The following is a 16,835-nucleotide window of genomic DNA, read 5'->3' on the forward strand; positions in this document are numbered from 1 at the left end:
ACTTGGGGGGTCCTCATCATTTCAGTGCCTTTATTGCCATATATTGAGACCTGGGGCAGCAAAACGAAACAGTCGTTGCTTTCTATTTTAAAAGTCACTAGTCTAACTTGGGGAGAGACATAAATACAAAATTATAGTACAGTGTAATATGGGATAATACAACTTTGTATAGGCAGCACAGAGAAAGAAATTATTGATTTTGCTTCTGGCAATTTGAGGAGGTCTCAGTAAGTAGATGCTGTCAAAGTAGGCTTTTAAAGCATAAGCAATAGCTTTTCTAGATAGACAATTTGAGGATACACATTCTAAGCAGAGGCCACAGCATATCTAAGCACCTGGAATTATTAACATGTTTCACTTAAGCCAAAGTGTCTTCTTAAACAGTTATATCCATTACCAACACTTGGTATTATCTTCTTAATTTTTGCCAAATGAGTGGGTATAAAAAGATATCTTATTTTGGTCTTAATTCATACTTCCTTAATTTCTAATGAGGTTCAGTATCTTCTTATATGTTTTCGACAATTTATATTTTGTGTGCCATACCTGTTCATGATGTAGGCCTATTTTTCTGTTTCGGTTGTTTGTGTTTTTCTAATTGACTTATACAAATGTTCATATATTCTGAATACTAATCCTTTGTAGGTTTTGTTTTTCAAATATATTCCCTTACATACTTATTCTCATGTATTCTCATTTGTATATATAAACACACATATGTATATTACACATAGGCATAAAGATATATAAAATCGACATGTACTATATAGATCTATATCAATGGCTCATATATTCCTTTTATAGTATTTAATATGCCTCATGTTTGAGAAATAGTCTTCAACCTTCATCAGCAAAGTATGCTCTTTTAAATATTTTTAAATAGTTTTAAAGTTTTGCCTTCTATATTTGAATATGAAAGCTATTTAGAATTAACATATGTGTGTACTGTGATATAGGCATGTACTATGTTATATTTGCCAAGACAGATAATGGTTCTTTCAGCAGCATTTATTAAATGATCCATATTTTCCCATGTGATCTACAATATTAACTCTGACATATATGACATTTCTTAGAAGTGCATTATTACTATTATTATTTTAATTTCAATAGGTTTTTAGGGAACAGGTGGTTGGTTACATGAATAAGTTCTTTAGTGGTGATTTCTGAGATTTTGGTGCACCCATCACCCAAGCAGTGTAGACTGTACGCAATGTGTAGTCTTTTATCTCTTACCCTCCTCCCATCCTTCCCCCCAGGTTCCCAAAGTCCATCGTATTATTCTTATGTCTTTATGTCTTCATAGCTTAGCTCCCACATATCAGTGAGAGCATGCAATACTTGGTTTTCCATTCTTGAGTTACTTTACTTAGAATAATAGTCTCCAATCTCATCCAGGTCACTGCAAATGCTGTTAATTCATTTCTTTTTATGGCTGCATAGTATTCCATCATATATCTATACCACAGTTTCTTTATCCACTCATTGATTGATGGGCATTTGGATTGGTTCCACAAATTTGCAATTGTGAATGGTGCTGCTATAAACATGCATGTGCAAGTATCTTTTTTGAATCATGACTTTTTTTCCTCTGGGTAGATACCCAGTAGTGGGATTGCTGGACCAAATGGTAGTTCTACTTTTAGTTCTTTAAGGAATCTCCACACTGTTTTTCACAGTGGCTGTACTAGTTTACATTCCCACCAGCAGTTTAGAAGTGTTCCCTGTTCACTGCATCCATGCCAACATCTGCTGTTTTTTGATGTTTTGATTATGGCCATTGTTGCAGAAGTAAGGTGGGATTACATTGTGGTTTTGATTTGCATTTCCCTGATATTAGTGATGTTGAGCATTCTTTCATATGTTTATTGGCCATTTGTATATCTTCTTTTGAGAATTGTCTCTTCATGTTCTTTGCTCACTTTTTGATGGAATTATTTGTTTTTTTCTTGCTGATTTGTTTGAGTTCTTTGTAGATTCTGGATATTAGTCTTTACGCAGATGCAGAGTTTGCAAAGATTTTCTCCCGTTCTGTGGGTTGTCTATTTAATCTACTGATTATTTCTTTTGTTTTGCAGAAGATTTTTAGTTTAAGTCCCATCTATTTATCTTCATTTTTGTTGCATTTGCTTTTGGGTTCTTGGTCATGAAGTCTTTGTCTAAGCTAATGTCTAGAACAACTTTTCCAATGTTATCTTCTAGAATTTTTTATGGTTTCAGGTCTTAGATTTAAGCCTTTGCTCCATCTTGAGTTAATTTTTGTATAAGGTAAGAGATGACGATTTCATTCTTCTACATGTGGCTTTGCAATTATCCCAGCAACATTTTTGGAAAAGGGTATCTATTCGCCACTTTATGTTTTTGTTTGCTTTGTCAAAGATTAGTTGGCTGTTAAGTGTTTGGGTTTATTTCTGGGTTCTCTATTCTGTTCCATTGGTCTAGGTACATATTTTCACACCAGTACCATGCTGTTTTGGTGACTATGCCCTATAGCAGAGTTTCAAGTCGGGCAATGTGATTCCTCTGGATTTGCTCTTCTGCTTAGTCTTGCTTTGGCTATGTGAACTCTTTTTTGGTTCCATATGAATTTTAGGATTTTTTTTGTAGGTCTGCGAAGAATATAATGGCATTTTAATGGGAGTTGGGTTGAATTTGTAGATTACTTTTGGCAGTATGGTCATTTTCACAATATTGATTCTACCTGTCCATGAGTATGGGATGTGTTTCCATTTGTTTGTGTCATTTATGATTTATTTCAGCAGTGTTTTGTAGTTTTCCTTGGAGAGGTCTTTCACGTTCTTGGGTAGGTGTTCCTAAGGTTTTTTTTTTTTTTTGCAGCTATTGTAAAATGGGTTGAGTTCTTGATTTGATTCTCAGCTTGGTCACTGTTGGTATATAGCAGTATTACTAATTTGTGTACATTTATTTTGTACCCTAAAACTTTACTGAATTCATTTATCAGATCTAGGAGCTTTTTAGATGAGTCTTTAGGGATTTCCAGGTATATAATCATATCATTAGCAAACAGCAACAGCTTGATTTCCTCTTTACTGATTTGGATGCCGTTTATTTCTTTTTCTTGTCTGACTGTTCTGGCTAGGACATCCAGTACCATGTTGAATAGAAGTGATGAAAGTGGGCCTCCTTGTCTTGTTTCAGTTCTTAAGGGGAATGCTTTCAGCTTTTCCCCACTCAGTATAATGTTGGCTGTAGGTTTGTCACAGATGGCTTATATTACCTTGGGGTATGTCTCTTTTATTCCCATTTTGCTGAAGGTTTTAATCATAAAGTGATGCTGGATTTTGTCAAATGCTTTTTCTGTGTTTACTGAGATTATCATGTAATTTTTGTTTTTAATTATCTTTAGGTGGTATATCACATTTATTGACATTAAGTCTACTGTTTCTTTATTCACTTTCTGTCTTGATTACCTGTCTCGTGCTGTCAGTGGAGTATTAAAGTCTCCCACTATTATTGTGTTGCAGTCTCTCTCATTTCTTAGGTCTAGTAGTAATTGTTTTATAAATTTGGGAGCTCCAGTGTTAGGTGCATATGTATTTAGAACTGTGATATTTTCCTATTAGGCTAGTCCTTTTATCATTACATAATGTCCCTTTTTGTCTTTTTCTACTGTTGTTTCTTTAAAGTCTTTTTTGTTTGATATAAGAATCTCCTCTCACTTTTGGTGTCCATTTACATGAAATATCTTTTTCCACCCTTTTACCTGCAGTTTATGTGAGTCCTTATGTGTTAGGCGAGTCTCTTAAAGACAGCAAATACTTGGTTGGTGAATTCTTATCCATTCTGCCATTCTGTATATTTTAATTGGAGCATTTAGACCATTTACGTTCAGCATTAGTATTGAGATGTGAGGTCCTTTACTATTCATTGTGCTAGTTGTTGCCTGAATGCCTTTTTTTTTTTCCATTATGTTATTGTTTTACAGGCCCTCTGAGATTTATGCTTTAAGGAGGTTATATTTTAGTGTACTTTGTGGTTTTGTTTCAAGATATTTAACTCCTTTTAGCAGTTCTTATAGTGCTGGCTTGGTAGGGCAAATTCTCTCAGCATTTGTTGGTCTGGAAACGACTGTATCTTTCCTTCATTTATAAAGCTTAGTTTTGATGGATACAAAACTCTTGGCTGATAATAGTTTTGTTTAAAGAGGCTAAAGATAGGATCCCAATCCCCTCTGGCTTGTAGGGTTTCTGCTGAGAAATCTGCTGTTAATCTGATAGGTATTCCTTTATAAGTAACCTGATGCTTTTGTCTCGCAGCTCTTAAGATTCTTTCATTCATCTTGACCTTAGATAACCTGATGACTATGTGCCTTGGCGATGATCTTTCTTGCAATAAATTTCTCAGGCAGTCTTTGAGCTTCTTGCATTTGTATGCAAGGCCAGGGAAGAGTTCTTTGATTATTCCCTCAAATACGTTTTCCAAACTTTTAGATTTCTCTTCTTCCTTGGAAAAGCCAATTATTTTTAGGTTTGGTCATTTAGCATAGTCCCAAACTTCTTGGAGGCTTCGTTTATTTTGTTTTCTATTCTTTTCTCTTTGTCTTTGTCAGACTGGGTTAATTCAAAAGCCTTGTCCTCAAGCTCTGAGGTTATTTTTTCTACTTGTTCAATGCTATTGTTGAAACTTTCCAGTGTAGTTTACATTTCTCTAAATGTGTCTTTCATTTCCAGACATGGTAATTTTTCTTTATTTATGCTATCTATTACTCTGGAGATTTTTCATCCATATCCTGCCTTATTTAAAAAATTTCTTTAAGTTGGTTTTCATCTTTCTCTGGTGCCTCTTTGAGTAGTTTAATAATCAACCTTCTGAATTCTTTTCCTGGAAATTCAGAGATTTCTTGTTGGTTTGTATCCATTGCTGGTGAACTAGTGTGATCTTTTGGGGGCGAGAGAACTTTCCTTTGTCATATTACCAGAATTGTTTTTTGGTGCCTTCTCATTTGGGTAGACTATGTCAGAGGAAAGATCTAGGGCTCAAGTACTGCTGTTCAGATTCATTTGTCCCACAGGGTGCTCTCTTAATGTGGTGCTTTTCCCTTTCCCCTAGAGATGGGGCTTCCTGAGAGCCAGACTGCAGCAACTGCTATTGCTCTTTTGGGTCTAATCACTCAGTGGAGCTACCCAGCTCTAGGCTGGTGCTTGGGAGTATCTGCAAAGAGTCTTGTGATGTGATGTGTCTTCAGGTTTCTCAGCCGTGGCTACCAGCACGTACTCTGGCGGAAGTATCAGGGGCACAAAGTGGACTCTGTAAGTGTCCTTGGTTGTAGTTTTGTTTAGTGCACTGGTTTTCTTGGATGCTGGTTGTGCTAGCAGTGAAGTTGTCATGTGGACAGACCCAGGATCTCTGGTTAGCCAGGATGTTATAGGCCATGGAATTAGCTATTGTTTTCTCCTTTGTTGAAGTGGGTTATTGTTTTATATAAATTGCTCTAATGGCTTAAGTTGGTTGGCCCCAAGCCAGGAGGTGGCACACTAAACAAAACTATACCTCACAGCACCACAAGTGATGGAACCCACTAAACTGTAGTTTCTTCATTGGTAAGATGATATCATTACTCACATGTAGAACTGTTGCGAGAACTAGATGATACATATAAAACACTCAGCACAGAGCTCAATGAGCACGAGGTCATGTTGCATAGAACATATAGGTTTGTATGAGTAGGTAGGAAGTCAAGAGTGTACATATTGAGTCCCTCAATTTTCTGGTGGTTCTGTGAGGGGATGGTGGTACTGGGATGGTAATGAAGATACTTACTGTGCAAGAGCTATTCTGAATAATGGGAGAAGGAACCAAAAACTCACAATTCCCTTCTTCTTCTGGCATTTGCATAGAAGGCAAAATTGGCTTAAAATTAGAATGAAGGGCACTGGTTTAGACTGTCCTTTTGCTGGTTACTACAAATAAGTGAGGCTGAACAGAATCTCTCAGATTCTTGGAACTGGCCATCAAAAAGTATGGTGGGTTCTCTGAAGCTGGCTGCCTGTTTGGTAGGTCACCTTCTTGAAACATGGTAGTATGTCTTGTTTTGTGTAAAATTTGTTTGGTGTTCAAGTGATTTCTTCTTTTAGGGTGTGCTGTCTGAAGTTATGGGAGGGAAAATTTCAGTTTCTGAAATTATGTAGATATTTAGTTAAATGTATGTTTAAAGCTATCACAAAAAGACCTCTGGATAGGGAGAGCCAACTCTCTGGGGTTGATATTGATTCCTTTACCATTTAGCTGTGTGATTTTAGTTAAGATCTGGAGAAGGAGAGGTCTGGACTCAGCATTTGGTAATTTCCATTTAATTCTCCAATCACCTGCAATACAAGATCTTCCCTAAGGAATTCTTGCATCTTGAAGATATAGAGTGAAAGGGGATTCAGTTGGCAGGAAGAAGATGTTATCCAACAAATTAGAGGTAGCCACTCATGTATTATGTTAATTACTTACTGTTTTTCCTATTTACTAACAGATTTGCTTGACAAACATTATCCTGTCTGCTAGGTGCTAAAAAATATGATAATCACCAAGACAGACTCAGCTCTAACTTCACGGACATTATCACCTTCTTTTCACTGAGGCAGCCCAATAGGAACCTTCATTGCACAATAGAGTATGCTTTGATACTTCACTAAATATTGTAGACTCAGCTTGATTGCATTCGTCTAATATTATATACTTTGAAAATTATTTTATTCACATTTGTATGCCTAGGATCCAGCACAACTTCTAGCACATACAAGGTATACAATAAACATCTGAAAGAAATAGTCCCTGGTAATTTGAGAATGTGTAGACTGAATAATGTAATTTCTATTTTGGTACATTATGGAGGAAAGAGCATATATAAAAATATATATACATAAATGGCAGGGAATTAACATGTCTTTAGCATTTACTATGTGACATCCATTGTGTGGGTACTTTAAATACATTTGTTAAGAGGATCCTTTTTAATTGCTTGGTTTTTTTTTTAAGGTGAAAAAACTGATATCCAGAAAGGATACATAACTAGCCTATATCATTTAGCTATTATGTAGTAGAGAAATAATTTAAATCATGGCTGTATGACTCTAAAATCTATAATCACCTTGTTCTATTTCTGTATGTTTTTATGGTTGCAGGAATTACTATTGCAATTGGATATAAAAATCCTAACCAGTGCGATTATGTAAGTAAAGGCTCCATGATAATTGGGAAGCCTGCAGATCCTGCCTGCCTAGAGTCAGACTTCCTCTAGCTTTGCTGTAACCGACCACAAAGATTCCAAAAGCTACAGACCAGAATAGACCCCAGACTGAATATTGCATAAAATTACAAACTGGAGTTAAAATAAGTGCTGATTTTTTTTTTTTTTTTTTTTTTTTTTTTTTTTTTGCCTTCAAGCATCTGTTTAACAAAGCACATCTTGCACTGCCCTTAATCCATTTAACCCTGAGTGGACACAGCACATGTTTCAGAGAGCACAGGGTTGGGGGTAAGGTCACAGATCAACAGGATCCCAAGGCAGAAGAATTTTTCTTAGTACAGAACAAAATGAAAAGTCTCCCATGTCTACTTCTTTCTACACAGACATGGCAACCATCCGATTTCTCAATCTTTTCCCCACCTTTCCCCCCTTTCTATTCCACAAAACCGCCATTGTCATCATGGCCCGTTCTCAATGAGCTGTTGGGTACACCTCCCAGACGGGGTGGTGGCCGGGCAGAGGGGCTCCTCACTTCCCAGTAGGGGCGGCCGGGCAGAGGCGCCCCTCACCTCCCGGACGGGGTGGCTGGCCGGGCGGGGGACTGACCCCCCACCTCCCTCCCGGACGGTGCGGCTGGCCGGGCAGAGGGGCTCCTCACTTCCCAGTAGGGGCGGCCGGGCAGAGGCGCCCGTCACCTCCCGGACGAGGCGGCTGGCCGGGCGGGGGGCTGACCCCCACCTCCCTCCCGGATGGGGTGGCTGCCGGGCGGAGACGCTCCTCACTTCCCAGAGGGGGTGGCTGCCGGGCGGAGGGGCTCCTCACTTCTCAGACGGGGCGGTTGCCAGGTGGAGGGTCTCCTCACTTCTCAGACGGGGTGGCTGGGCAGAGACGCTCCTCACCTCCCAGACGGGGTCGCGGCCGGGCAGAGGTGCTCCTCACATCCCAGACGGGGCGGCGGGGCAGAGGCGCTCCCCACATCTCAGATAATGGGTGGCCGGGCAGAGATGCTCCTCACTTCCTAGATGGGATGGCGGCCGGGAAGAGGCGCTCCTCACTTCCTAGATGGGATGGCGGCCGGGCAGAGACACTCCTCACTTTCCAGACTGGGCAGCCAGGCAGAGGGGCTCCTCACGTCCCAGACAATGGGCGGCCAGGCAGAGACGCTCCTCACTTCCCAGACGGGGTGGCGGCCGGGCAGAGGCTGCACTCTCAGTACTTTGGGAGGCCAAGGCAGGCGGCTGGGAGGTGGAGGTTGTAGCGAGCTGAGATCACGCCACTGCACTCCAGCCTGGGCACCATTGAGCACTGAGTGAACCAGACACCGTCTGCAATCCTGGCACCTCCGGAGGCCGAGGCTGGCGGATCACTCGTGGTTACGAGCTGGAGACCAGCCCGGCCAACACAGCGAAACCCCGTCTCCACCAAAAAAATACGAAAACCTGTCAGGCGTGGTGGCGCGCGCCTGCAATCGCAGGCACTCGGCAGGCTGAGGCAGGAGAATCAGGCAGGGAGATTGCAGTGAGCCTAGATGGCAGCAGTACAGTCCAGCTTCGGCTCGGCATCAGAGGGAGACCATGGAAAGAGAGGGAGAGGGAGACCATGGGGAGAGGGAGAGGGAGAGGGAGACCGTGGGGAGAGGGAGAGGGAGAGGGAGAGGGAGAGGGGCTGTTTTTTTTTTTTTGAGATCTGTTGTTGTTTTTAACCACAGTGATAATAATAATTTACACTGATGTGATGGTTTATAGATTTCAAAGCACTTGTTTATGTGTCAACATGCCTGGGAAGCAGGCATGACAGGGACCAGCAAGGGTTGCATTACTCACTCAAGCTCTCCCTGCTGGTTAAAGGCCTGACTAAGTCTGTTCTTTTTGCTCGTATGTAGAATAATGAGACACTCTCAGATTAGCTCAACCACGTGTATACCAACTGTAAGCTAATGCAGCAGATACATGGATTTATAGTGAGGTTTAAAATAGTAACAATGTAATTTCATATCATCTCACAATTTTTTTTCCCTGTTGGAAAGGAAAGATGCCCTTTCTTCTTTCTTTCTTTGTGCTTTGTAAGAAAACCTAGTTGTGGGTTGCAGTCATGGGTGGAGAAGAGGGTCCTTTCAGTTCGTTCAATTTTCAGACTATCACAAAGGAAGGAACATTTTTCAGTTATTTGGAAATTGTAATAAATGAGACTGTGAGACAGGCAATTCTCAGGAGATCCAAGCAATTATGATACTTTAACATTCTTTGAAAAAAGCTCCCCACACAGGAGGATCTTTGTAGGCCTTCCAATCAACATCTCCCACATAAAATTGCAGCCAGCAAAGGTGCTGGAAGGCACATCTTCCTTTTCTTACCCAAGGGAGCTAAGACACAGTTTACCTGTGAGTTGGTCATTAGCCAATAATTACACACTATTGCTTCCATGGGTTTCAGTGGTGGGGGTTACTTTTCTGTCCCCTTTCCTTCTCTGAGTTATGTTTTGGTCTCAGCACACTTCCGTTCCTCTGGAGGCAGGCAGCTTGGTTCAAAGAAGTACACAGTAGATTTAGGAAATGCAACACTGGAAGTCTGATGCCAGCTCCATTATATACTTGGGCACTCTTGGGAGATTCACATACCATCACCAGCCTCACTTCATCTGTGAAATGGAAATAAGGTCTGTCTCACCAGGTTGTTGAGGAAGTGAAATGTGATGCTCTATATGAAAGCACTTCGCTCCCAAAATAGATCACTACTGTCTTAATTATTGTGTCTTTTTCACATTTATGGTTTTTTTTTTTAAATGGATTCTTCATTTCCAACAAAGTGCTCATCCCTAAAACTCATTTCAACTTGCTCTTTGTCATTTTTCTTGCAAGGCCTGGGCTGGTTTTAGGACAGCATCCTTCTGAAGTTGCCTTTGAGTTGAGGAGCGATGCTCTCTCATCAGAGTCCCTGGGCTGCTTGGTCCACTAGGATGCTGAGCTGAGCTGCTGGCACTTGCTGATCCTGAGGCAGGCCTCCTGTTTTGAACACAATTGCAGCATGATGAGAACTGACCCCCTAGTACCAATGAACTCTTCGAGTAGGAAGCTCTGAGGCTCCCACTCCCTTTCCATGAACTTCCTTCTCCAGCAACTTCAGGCAAAGTTACATCTCTCCTCCAGATGTTTAGAAACTTCATACCTTGTGCCCATCGGCCTTGATTAAACATCAGCAACTCAAGTTACTCCCTCCTTTGACACCCCTGTGGTTCCCTATTTCTATGACATTAACTCCAAACACCCTTGTTTCCTGGTCCTGAGCACATCATAACAGTCTTCTTCCTGTGCCATGAATGTGACATGCTCATTTCTGCCTCCATACTCTTGCCCATTTTCACCCTTTCTCAAGTGGCTGTCCTCATTTCATTCAGGGCTGCCCAATCTTCTAGCCTCTCTGAGGTTCTACTTCCCCCACGAAAGCCCCTTGATGCTGTCCCACCTTTTCCTTCTGCCTTCAACTTTAACACCTCTGACAAGCCTGTTGTACCACAGGGTTTAGCACCAAGTTATACACTGGCTTGTGGTCATTTTTTGAAATGTCAGTTTTAGATCCTTAACAGAGTTGAGAGCTTTTAAACTCAACCATGTGAGAAATCGTTAATTGAACAACTACTATTCACTTTATTGGTTATCAAAGATAAATGTATGAGCCATGGCTGATATTCTTGAATAGCTCATATCTAGTAGTAGAGACAGACCAGTAATCTAAAAACCAAAATGCACTGTTATAAGTGCTGTAAAATAGAAATATGTACAAAGTCCTAGGAGAGAAGTGGAAATGAGTATGGCTGGGTGGGGGACTATGGAGGAGGCATCTATTATTGAATAACTTCATGTTCCAAACCCTGAGCTAGGAATTGGTATGCATCATTTTATTAAATACTTAAAACCATCTTGTAAGAAGATGTGAAGGAGTGTCCCCATCTTCCAAATGAGATCAAGAAAGAAGTGATTTGCCAAGCTTAGAGAGCTTGGTGGGGCCCACAGGTCTGCTGGTTGTAAAGGCTATACCATGTAGGTTTCCATTATCCTGCCCTGAAGAGGATTGATTGGTAATTGCTAGCAAGTGCTGCTCAGCCATTGACCTCTCAGGCCCTTGCCTTCCTTTAGGAGATTTTGGACCATTTGCACCTATTCTTTCACATGAACTTCAGTTTTGCTGGACTTAAACAACAAACAACAGTAAATAAAAAATCCTTTCTTTTTTGTGATGTAAAGAGATCTTTCATTATTAATTTGCTCTTAAAACATGAATTGGGAGGAATGAGTTTTAATTTTTTTACTATTATTTGCTTGGTAGCCAGACACAATCATGAGAAGTCCAACATACATTAAGATAGTCCATCAAACCTGGTTTTGAAGCAATTTGTTCTCTTGGTGACTTTGTTATAAAGCCTCTTTGTTATTCAAGCAGACATATCTATCCCAAGAAACAATAGATTCAAATATGATTTTGATAGTAAGGGAGGAAAGAAGGAACAAAGAAAAAAAAGGAAGAAGAATAGAAGGAAGTGTGGGCTAAGAAAGTGGATCACTGAAAGGCATTCTGGGAGTGATAGTCTACCAGTAGCTCTGGGTCCCCTTCCCTTGGACACATTGAAGATTCTGTGTTCATTCACCTCAGGTCAGAGGAGTGCCTGTCATTACAGGGCTCCTCTGTCGCTATACTGCAGTGTTCAGTATTTTGTCTTCTCTTTTCCTCTGACACTTAAAGTGTCCAGTGCCTTATTGACTTAATCCTGCGGTGGGAATGAAGTATCTTTTACTTGATTGATGGGTCTTTCCATCTAAAACATTTCCATCTTTCCAACTTAATTTTTCAAAGCACCTCCTTCCAACCCTGACATCACTCTATATTCCAGTCAAACTGGGATTTGCTGCCCCTCAACACTCTCTTGGTTTCTGTCAATTCTTCCCTTTCCATTTTTACTTCGTTCTTCAAAACCCAATTTAACAAAGGCTTCCCTATTGTCATCAATCAAAATCTATCTCTCTTCCTCTGTTATTAACATTTATAGGTGGAAGATACTCACGCCAGATCCAAATCCAACTTCGGTCAATCACCAGCTGTGTGATCTTTGGTAAGTTAAATAACTCATTGGAACCTCAGCTTCCTCTCTTATTGGATGAGGAACATAAGTCTCCCCGCTGCCTTTGGGACTTTGTGCATGTTATTTTTGCTGCCAAAAACAATCTCCTCCTCTGATTTATTTGGATGACTCATTCTTCAGGACTCAGCTCAGAAGTCACTTCTTCCTGGAAGCCTTCTTTGATTTGCCAAATCAGATTAGATGTCCCGGCTATTCTCTCTTATTTTCCCTGTCACTACTTCCTGTTACATTGTAATTACATGTTTGTATCCCTCTCAAGACCATGTCACCAGGCTTAGACCATAGATTACATGAACAGTAAATATCACCAAAAGATGCTTTATTAATCATATGGGTAAAGCACCAGGCACATAGTAGCTGCTGAATAAGTCATTCCGTATCCTTTAGTATACATTGCACTGAAGTTAGTGTTATTTATGTCTCTCCACTTGACTTTGTGTATTGGAAGACATAGACCCACTCAATTTTATACGTCTTAAGACCTAGATCCACAACTTGATTATCTTTGTGTCCCTCGCAAGATCTAATACATACAAAAAGACAAATGTTGGATTGAATCATAATGAACATAAATTAAAATTCTTTAAATTCAAGCCTTCACATGAGGAAAACATTTTGCCAAACTTCACTGTTGTTATAATAGAGAATCCAGTTTACTTTAAAAATGGTTTCTCTTTTTGATAAAAGGTGCTCAGTAAATGATTATGGAACACACAGATGATGAACACATTGGATTTTTCCTGTATGTGCATGTACTGGATTCTAAATTGGTCCGATGAGGATAGAGTAACCCCCATTCTTCATCTTGCCTCTCATTGTGCCTTGCATCTGGACTGGTGCTCAGAAAAGCTTGCTGAATTGAACTGGGGAAGGAGCTATTGTGATCCTGCTTTTTCCTTGCTTTTTAGAATCTTCTTAGAGAACTGCTCAAAAGGTTGCTTTGCTATGCAGAGAGGCAGATAGTATGTGAGTATATGAAAGGAGAGAAACTGAGAGGAGAGGTATGGATAAATTGTTAAAAGGAAAATATCATGTCAAGTCAGGGATGAAAAATCACTTTCTCTCATCTCTTTTTCTTGCTGCCTATTAAACGGTTGTCCAGGAAAGATCAAATAAGAAACTGAGGTTTCTTCAATCAGAGATGAGCGACAAAAATGTCAGCTGAGGATAGAAGATCAAGGCAACATGAAGGCGGCGGCGGGGTGGGTGGAGGGGCAGTGGTGTCTTCCTCAATCTGCTCCCAGCTCTGCCAGGCAGGCCTTGGCTTGTCTAGAAGTTCCATCGCCAAGGGCTTCCTCCTCATCCTTTCAGCTCAGCTGAACTGTTAGGGCTGTTGAGAGAGAGAAGTGTGAACAGGGTAGGCATGAGGGCAGGTGCTGAGAGCAGGCGCTGCAGCAGTAATGCAAAAGAAGAATCATTTATTTTGTATTTGGGTTTACAAGTATAATGAGGCTTTGTCTGTTGACTGTCTACCATCCATCAACACTGTTCTGCTGGAGGCAACGCCCAGGTCCTGATGGGCCTCCAAAACATTGGTTTGTTCTCCTCTCCTGCCTAGTAGTGCTAGTAAATAAAGGAAATGGAGCTACAGATGGAAGTTGTTTGCTGCAGTATTATGTCTGGGGGCGGGCAAGGCTACGGCTGGTGTCCCTGCCAGGAAACACACCAGCTGGTGATGTTTTTACGTCTGCTCGCCCCAGCTCCAACTCCAATGGGGAGCAAGTGGGAGGATTGATGTGCTAAGCCTGCCTTTCTTTTCCCTCCAGCTTCCATTTTGGGTTTATGCACTTTTGGCATGAGGGCTGCCCAGCTGTAAGCCCTGCTTCTCACACATCCTGGCAGTGAAGCTGTGATGATTGCCCCTTTGGGATGAAGGAAGGAGGTGGATGGCTTCCTGCACCTGCTCTGGCTTGTATTAGGGATTTCCCCCTCTCACCCATTATGCTGAGATGACTTTTTACAAATGGACTATTTCTAGCTGATTTTAGTGATGTAGTTGGATTGAATTCTCTGCTGAGAAGGAAAGCCTCATGGATACCGCTAGTGCTGCATCTTGAGAGGAGACAGCCTGGATCCCATGTTCAAGACTGGCCACTCATCACCTCTGTCACACTGGGTTCCTCAACGCTAAAGGCATTGCAAAGTCTTTGGACCACATGATTCTGGATTCATTGACTTTTCAGACTTACTTATTTAACTTTCCTTACTCTCTCAGCATCTTCATTTGTGAAATGAAGAATGAATGAATAAATGGATAGATACATACATGTATGTATGTATCTATCTAGTATCTGTCTATGTGTCTATCATCGATGTCTATCTATCATCTATCTATCTATCTATCTATCTATCTATCTATCTATCTATCTATCTATCTAATCATTCATCTGTTTCTCTCTCTCTCTCTGTGTCTCTGAGTTTTAATTCTAATTCCTACATGCTCTTTTGGCTCTACAAGTTGTGCTGATTTGTGTGGAAATCTCATGGGTTTTCAAAATCCTATTTTACAGTGAGATGTTTATAACTTGGGATTACCAGTACTTCACTTTCTCAAATCATTTGTGTTTGCTTGTATGTGTGAATATTTGCATGTGTTCATGTGATGGTCTTTAATACACTATCTTGAGAGTTATATTGCATAATGAAGGCACTCTAAGGTCAAAATGTCCAGGTTGGATCTTAGCACTGCTATTCACTAGTGATTTCACCTTGGGAAAGTGGCTTAATGTCTCTGTACTTCAATTTTTTCTTTCATAAAATGGAGATAATAATGATAATGTCTCTTAGTGTTGTATGATTGAATGAGTTTATATAGTAATTACTTAGACAATGCCTGGCATATGGTATGCTATATAAAGGTTTGCTATTACTCTGGGTGATGGTCAAGGTATATGGTATTAGAGTTTCTTACTCTCAGCAAGTTTTTTACTGGTATATAAACATATTTATCTTGTGCACAAGACTACAATTTTGCATTCAGAAAGTATTCCATGTAAAGGCTCTCTCACTCCTTAATTTACTTTCTGCCCTCCATATTTCCTTGTCTTCCTTCAGAAGCTCCTCTTTAAGTATCCCTCCTACTGATGTCCTACTTCCCTCTGACATAAAAACACAATCTATGCTTATGTCCCTTCTTTGTCATATAGATATAGAAATATGCACACCCACCCACTTATATGTGTATGTAGTATAAGAAATAATTCCAATATCATTAGGAACTGAGGCTTTTACTCATTAGAGAGGAAAGATATAAGTAAAATATATTTTCTTATTTTATACTGGAATATATTTTCTTCCAGTAAGAAAAAAACAAATTAGTTGTGTCCACTGAAAAAGTCTAGACAGAATGATCAACCCAGTAACAAGGAGGACCCTTGACATCCAAATTGTGGTCTCCAAATATCATTTCTTACTAAGGAGCTTGGGCTTCTTTGAGAAATGGTTGATTATAAGTGTGGGACAAAAAACACATAAGATGAGTTATGTGTCTCATTGCATCTCACTAGAACATCTCATTGCATCAGAAAGCAAGGAAGCTATCAAAGGCCCTTGGGACCATGTAAAATTAACTTAGGAACAATATGAAATTGCTTCCAAAGGCTAAATATGGAAGTTTAACATCAAAAGAACCCATCACCTGAGCAGTATACAGTGCACCATATTTGTAGTCTTTTATCCCTTGTCCCCTTTCCACTCTTCCCCCCAAGTCCCCAAAGTCCGTTGTATCATTCTTATGCCTTTGCATCCTCATAGCTTAACTCCCACATATCACTGAGAACAAACGATGTTTGGTTTCCCATTCCTGAGTTACTTCACTTAGAATAATAGGGTCTAGTCTCATCCACATCACTGCAGATGCTGTTAATTCATTCCTTTTTATGGCTGCTTAGTATTCCATTGTGTGTGTGTGTGTGTGTGTGTGTATATATATGTATATATCACAGTTTCTTTATTCACTAGTTGATTGATGGGCATTTGGGTTGGTTCCATGATTTTGCAATTGTGAATTGAGCTGCTATAAACATGCGTGTGCAAGTACCTTTTTCAAATAATGATTTCTTTTCCTCTGGGTAGATACCCAGTAATGGGATTGCTGGATCAAATGGTAGCACTTTTAGTTCTTTAAGGAATCTCCACACTGTTTTCCATTAGTGGCTGTACTAGTTTACATTCCCACCAGCAGTGTAGAAGTGTTCCCTGTTCACTGTATCCTGGCCAACATCTACTGTTTTTGTTTGTTTGTTTGTTTGTTTTGACTTTTTGATAATGGCCAATGTTGCAGGAGTAAGGTAGATTACATTGTGGTTTTTTGATTTGCATTTCCCTGATCATTAGTGATGTTGAGAATTTTTTCATAAGTTTATTGGCCATTTGTACATCTTCTTTTGAGAATTGTCTATTCATATCCTTAAGCCACTTTTTGATGGGATTGTTTGTTTTTTTTCTTACTAATTTGTTTGAGTTTGTTGTAGATTCTGGATATTAGTCCTTTGTCAGATGTATA

The 16,835-nt window shown here is 40.1% G+C and overlaps 2 long non-coding RNA genes across 2 annotated transcripts in view; one reads left to right on the forward strand and one right to left on the reverse strand.

Moving 5' to 3' along the window:
- The window catches only part of LINC01182 (long intergenic non-protein coding RNA 1182), a 276,050-nt gene that overhangs the window by 98,121 nt on the left and 161,094 nt on the right, over positions 1 to 16,835 (forward strand). The gene's annotated exons all lie outside the window — the stretch shown is intronic.
- The window catches only part of LOC101929048 (uncharacterized), a 74,973-nt gene continuing 70,771 nt past the window's right edge, over positions 12,634 to 16,835 (reverse strand). Inside the window, exon 5 of the long non-coding RNA XR_925415.3 lies at positions 12,634 to 13,661. This is a non-coding gene — a long non-coding RNA (uncharacterized LOC101929048). The remainder of the gene's footprint in view (positions 13,662 to 16,835) is intronic.

Source organism: Homo sapiens, chromosome 4 (assembly GCF_000001405.40).
Source record: "Homo sapiens chromosome 4, GRCh38.p14 Primary Assembly".
Taxonomy (NCBI): Eukaryota; Metazoa; Chordata; class Mammalia; order Primates; family Hominidae; genus Homo; species Homo sapiens.